The following is a 6,000-nucleotide window of genomic DNA, read 5'->3' on the forward strand; positions in this document are numbered from 1 at the left end:
GACAAAAGACGCTGGAGGTACCTCAAAAGTGCCAGAGGTGGTTTTACGAAGTTTCAGTCTCTTTCAAGAAAATGATTGAGGAAACAGAATGAGGCTATTAGGGATTGGCAGAAATTCTTTGACAATATAAAAGAAGGACATCATAAGACTCGTCGCAGCCTGGGAGGACTGCCTGATGATCATACAGTATTGGAAAGAATGATGTTAGAGGTTGTCAAACTTCAGGGGATTTGAGGAGGACAGTCACTGTCTCTTTAATGATTATGCTGTAATGACTGTGTGCATTGCTTATCTCATTTTGGGGAAAGCATTCTCCCCACCCTCAAGCTATTTCCCAAGAAATGAACACAGGAAATTTCCAAGAAATTTCCCAAGCATTCTCCTGGACAGTTACCAGGAGAAGAGCCCTCATCTTTCCTCTGTCTTCACAAAACTGGGGCTCACTGACATTTTCTTTGCCAATGTAAAGGGCTGAATCTGTTCTCTTGTTCCACGGTGAGTGTCGCCATAAGTCCAGATACTGTTTCCCTTCTGGGGACTTGGCAGCTAGCCTGAACCTCCTGCCTGGGATTAGCAGGGACCGGGGGATGGAGGGGAGGCTGCCCAGGTCATTGTCCTTGTTCCCCTTGATCTCTCCCTTTAAGCAGCAGACTCAGTCACTGGCGCCATCAATCTAGCACATTTCATAAACAGTAAATTCATTTTAAAAACCTGCTGCTGAGCAGCCATCTGTCTCCATTTTTGTCAATCTGCTGTTACAGCAATGCTAGTGTACTGTGAGGTTGTCTTTCATTAAAGACTCCTTGATCTGAAGGTGAGCACGTTAAACATGGAGAGGAGCTCTGGGCCAGCTGACAGCATTTCTGACCACTAGCCTTTCATCACCGGAACCTGGAGTTTAAAACTTATTTTTGACCTAAAATGATGATATTGATGGTTTCTGTATCTTGCTGTGCTTGATTTACATACTTTAAGATTACAGAGTGTTCTAACATCCTAACTTACTACTGATAAGGTAGGAAGAAGACTGACAAGTCTTATTACCATTTAAGTATTACTGTAGATAAACAGGCACAGAGTAGTTAAGTGCCCAAGGTCACGTAGCAAGGATGAGAACTGGGAATATACTGGAGCTATGGTCTCCCTCCTGAATAACTGAGTCATCTCTATCTGTTTTTTTTTTTTTTTTCATGTGACCATTTCACAAAATCTCTACACATGGACATTTTGCTCTCCAGAGACCAGTCTGAGCATAGCAAAGAGGATTGGAACCAGCTCTGAGCTGAGTTGTAGGAAGAAGCTGACACCTGGATCCCAAGCCAGTTTTTAATACATAACATCCTACAATGTATTCTCTTTGCAGCACACAGGACCTCTCTCCACTAATCATTTTTATTAGGAGGAAAACATATTAAAACCAAAAAACCTCAACAACATAAAATCACTGAAAGCAAGCCAAGGATGCAGACAGCACCAGACGGGATTGTAGGCAGTGGAAACACTCTCCTGCAAAGGAAGCGTGTTAACTTACGCTCAGGCCCCATAGGCTTGTCACTAGATGAAATAATCTGAAGGAACTCAGAGGGTATTTTCCTGTGCTTACCACCCCTAAGCACCCTTACAAGCCATTTTGGATAATAGAAGAAGAATCTAGGTGGGAAGCTGGTTCAGAGCCCATCAGAATTCCATTATGCCCATGATGTTGGCATGCCCTGTTAACATGTTAACATTTAGACCTACCTAAAATAAGTCAGATCTAATCTCCAAGCATAGATTTCAAGGCAGTAAGCCATGCTGCTGTTCATTCCTGCGGCATCCTGGGTTGTCACTCCCTGCATTGCTCCCCACCACCTTCCTTTGAGGAAAGTGCTTGGCTTTGACGTGTTCCCTCTAGTGTCTGTGCTAATCCTCTTTGTGGCTCTTCTACTGCTTTGTTCTTATTTTTGACACGTTGAGCAAAGCACCTGGAATTGGAAGAGTCAGCTTCTCTTTGAGCAATCAGTGGATGCCAAGAATAATACTTCTGCCTTATTCTTGTTCCTTGGGGTGATGGTGAATTCTGTGTGTCAACTTGGCTAGGCTGTGGTGCCCCCTTGTTTGTTCAAACACTTGTCTAGATGTTGCTGTGAAGGTAATTTTTAGATGTGATTAACATTTCAATCAGTTGACTTTGAATAAAGTAGATTACCCTCCATAATATGGATGGGCCTCATCCAACCTGTTGACGGTCTTAAGAACAAAGACCAGTTTCCTAAAGAAGCAGCAGTGTTTGCTTCAAGATGGCAACATAGAAATTCTGCCAGAGTTTCCGTCCTGCTGGCCTGCCCTGAAGATTTTGGACTCAAGGCTGTAGCATTGACTCTTATCTGTATTTACAGTCTGCCTACCTGCCCTACAGATTTTGGACTTCCCAGACTTCATATTTGCATGAAACATATCTTAAAATAAATGTCTGTCTACCTATCCATCCATCTACCCACTCAAACTATTTGTTCTGCTTCTCTGGAGAGAGGCACGAATACACTAAGCAACTAATACACTTAGTTAATTTCAACATTTCCTTCTCTACAAAGGACTAGAAGCTAATTAGAACATTCTGGAGCTGCCCCAGCCCTGCCTCTTATTAGCCCTGCCTCTTGTGTGATCTTGGGGAAGTTGCAAACATCACTGCCTCTGTTTACTCAACTGTTAAATAGGAGTAGGGTATTTGCTGCTAGGTTGTTATGAGGATTAAATGAGGATGTGCCACAGAGTAAATGTTACGTTTTTAAAATTAAAGCAAGTATATTAGAACATATCCAGCACTTTGGGAGGCTGAGATGGGTGGATCACCTGAGGTCAGGAGTTCGAGACCTGCCGGGGCAAAATGGTGAAACCCTGTCTCTACTAAAAATACAAAAATTAGCCAGGCATGGTGGCATGCATCTATAATCCCAGCTACTTGGGAGGCTGAGGCAGGAGAATCACTTGAACCTTGGAAGTGGAGGTTGCAGTGAGCCAAGATCATGCCACTGCACTCCAGCCTGGGCAACAGAACGAGACTCCATCTCCAAAAAAATAAGAAATTATTTGATACAATATCAAATCTATTGATTTGATGTTGTAGGCGTATAAAGATGTTCATGTGTGTTCTAGCATGTGAGGAAGGCGGGAGGAAATGTGGAATGCCCTTCACGTTGTTCCTGAATCATTGCTTCTCGTTTTCTGGAGGAGTGTGGTGGTGTGTTCGTAAAGGAAAATGTAGGGGCATTGGAGGTGGATCAATCCACCCTTAAATCTTTGTTCTCCCATCTTACCACTTTATGATTTAAAGCAAAGGTTACTACCTTTTTGAGACTCAGGACTTTTTAAGACCCTTAGTTTGACCCTAGCTCTGTAGAGGTGGAGGTCTTGAGAATGTGCTTAGATGGGTCCGCAGAGAATTCACCCTGAAAAGGAAGGAACTGGAGGACACAAGCTTGGCACATGACCTTGATTAGTCACCACTAGGACGCAAGACTTCAATGTGCCTACTCCCCAATTTTGCCACTAAATTCATCCCAAATCAGTCAAGAGTGATGGCTATAAAAGCTTGGAGAACATTCTCCCCAGTGGAAGCCTAATGAAGAGCTATAAAACCTGGTGAATAGAGCAGCAAAAGGTGTTGGCAGTCGAGGACAAGTAGAAAAGAGAAAAGAACTGCTGTTAAATGATGAGGGTTTTTAGTGTGAACAGCTGTTGAGATGTCTCAGTTGGACACAAGGGCGGGGGCTTGGAGGGAAGCTTGGCACCCCACGGTCATTACCTGGTGGTGGTGGTGGGGGGATCAATTTTTACCAAAAATAAAAATATATATTTTTAAAATTTTTTTTCTTTTCTCGTACTCTGGAGCAGCTGTTCTTAGCCAGTGGAGATTTTGCCCCCCAGGGGACTTTTGGAAATGTCTGGAGTCTTTGATTGTCATGAAGGGGACCAGGGTTGCTGTAGTCATCTAGTGGGCATCTAGAGCTGCTAAACATCCCACAATGCACAGAGCAGCCCCACGAGAAAATACTCGGCTCAAAATGTTAGTAGTGCCGAGGTTGAGAAATCCTGCTGTGGCGGCCCTCCGTGCCTTAAATGAAGAGTAAGCAGCCCCGGTACGGACTGTTACACTGGTGGCAATAACAGCGTAGGAGTCGCATGGCTTCTCGCAGGAGAGCAGGAGGCTCAAATGTATTTTGGATGTTTCCTCTAAGACGATGAATTGGCTTGAATGTCTTGTGTGGTGCTGTCTCACCCAAACCAGGTGTATTTCAGAATTGATTTGAAAATGACTTGGAGACCAGTTCACCTATTGCCTCAGCATGATGGTAACATATAGCCAGGACAGAGTCCATGACAGTAAAATGGCTTTGATGAAGTGACTTTGTTCCTGCTCTTCAGCTGGGGCTTTTGGCTCCTCATTTGATCTCCCCAGTTAGAGTGCAGACTCAGAGTGGCCAAGGGCTGCAGATCCTCCCTTTCCTGGGCCTCCCTCCATTCCTCACAAAGGGCAGGACCTCAAGAAAGAAATGTTTCATAGAGGAAAGTCACCCCCTACTTTAATATACTTCAACAGGCTGACAACCTGAAAAAAAAATTAGGACAGGAAGGAGAAAACCATCTCAGTGATGAATGTTCTAAAATTAGAGTCTACAATGCAGGTATTGTATTTCTTCAGAATATTAATATACCCTCACTGGAATATATCATTGAGATTTCACTGGAAAATTAGAAAGGGCAAGGGAAGAGTTTCAGCCTGAAGGCTATTTTGAATATCTTAAGTGATTGAAATAAACAAATTAAAAAATGAATTTGTTATGTTCGGTACTAGATTTATGACAGGGCAGTACGTTTGAGGTCATTTTTACTGTGGCACATGAGGAAGCCTCAGAAGATTTCTATGTCCCAAAGACTGTTCACAAAAATCTTTTCCAGATTCTTCTAGCTGTATGGGAGCATAGAGAATGGTGTTTCCTATCGAAAGTGTTTAAGAGGCTGTCACTTGCTCAAGATCATTTAGTCAGTGGCTAAGCCAGAACTAAAGCCAGCTTCCTGGCTGTGAGACCATCACCCTGTGCTGCTCTGCATGCCATTTGTCATGGTGTCTGACATTCCACCCTTGACAGGTAGGGAGATAAAGAGATGATAGGTATTTGGAATCAGGCAGATGTGAGGATACAGCACAGTTTTGCTCCTCCTTTTCTGTGGGGCTTACTTAACTTTTCTGATTCTTGGTTTTCTCATATGAAAGTAGAGAAAATAATTATTATTAGTGGTTTACTTAGCTGTGTCATGAAAACGTCTAGGCCTCGAAAAGCTCCTTACTATAATGCAATTATTACAGTGACTTTTTATAACATAGACGGGTGTTACTCAGATTGTGATTCACGAAACAGTTCTCAAGATGTGTTTAAGATTTTCAATAATTAATGTGTTTCATGGCTAAATAATTGTAGGAGACACCAGTTAGGTCAAGGTAAACAGAATAGGAATTCTTAGAGCCTTCAATAGGCTAATGGGTATGACTTAATAAGAGAATGTAATAAGAAGCATTTCACAAATATGTATGACCATAGAACTTTTTTTAAGTGGAACATCTGATAATATCTTGTGGGATGCTAGTTTCCATGGGACACAGTTTGGGAATTATGGTAGGTTGATTATATTGATGTGTCCACTCCTTTTTTCTGGGCTCAGATACGTGACTTATTTTGGCTGATCAGCAGTTAACTGGCATGATGCAAGCAGAGACTGAGAAAGTCCTTGTGCATTGAGGCTTGCTGTCTTGCTGCTCTTTATAACTACAAATCTTAATCTTCCCTGGCTCCTTCATCATAACTGTTGTATCGAACCCCTGTAGACTCCACTGGGGATGGTACCAGGTTCAAGAGGCTGAAGAAGAGACCCAGAGCCAGGGAATGAGACATGAGATTTTGCTGGGGGCTTACATACGGGGGAGAGAGTCCAGTGTTGACGGGCTGGACAGAATTATTGCAT

This window comes from Homo sapiens, chromosome 13, assembly GCF_000001405.40.
Source record: "Homo sapiens chromosome 13, GRCh38.p14 Primary Assembly".
NCBI classification, from domain to species: Eukaryota; Metazoa; Chordata; class Mammalia; order Primates; family Hominidae; genus Homo; species Homo sapiens.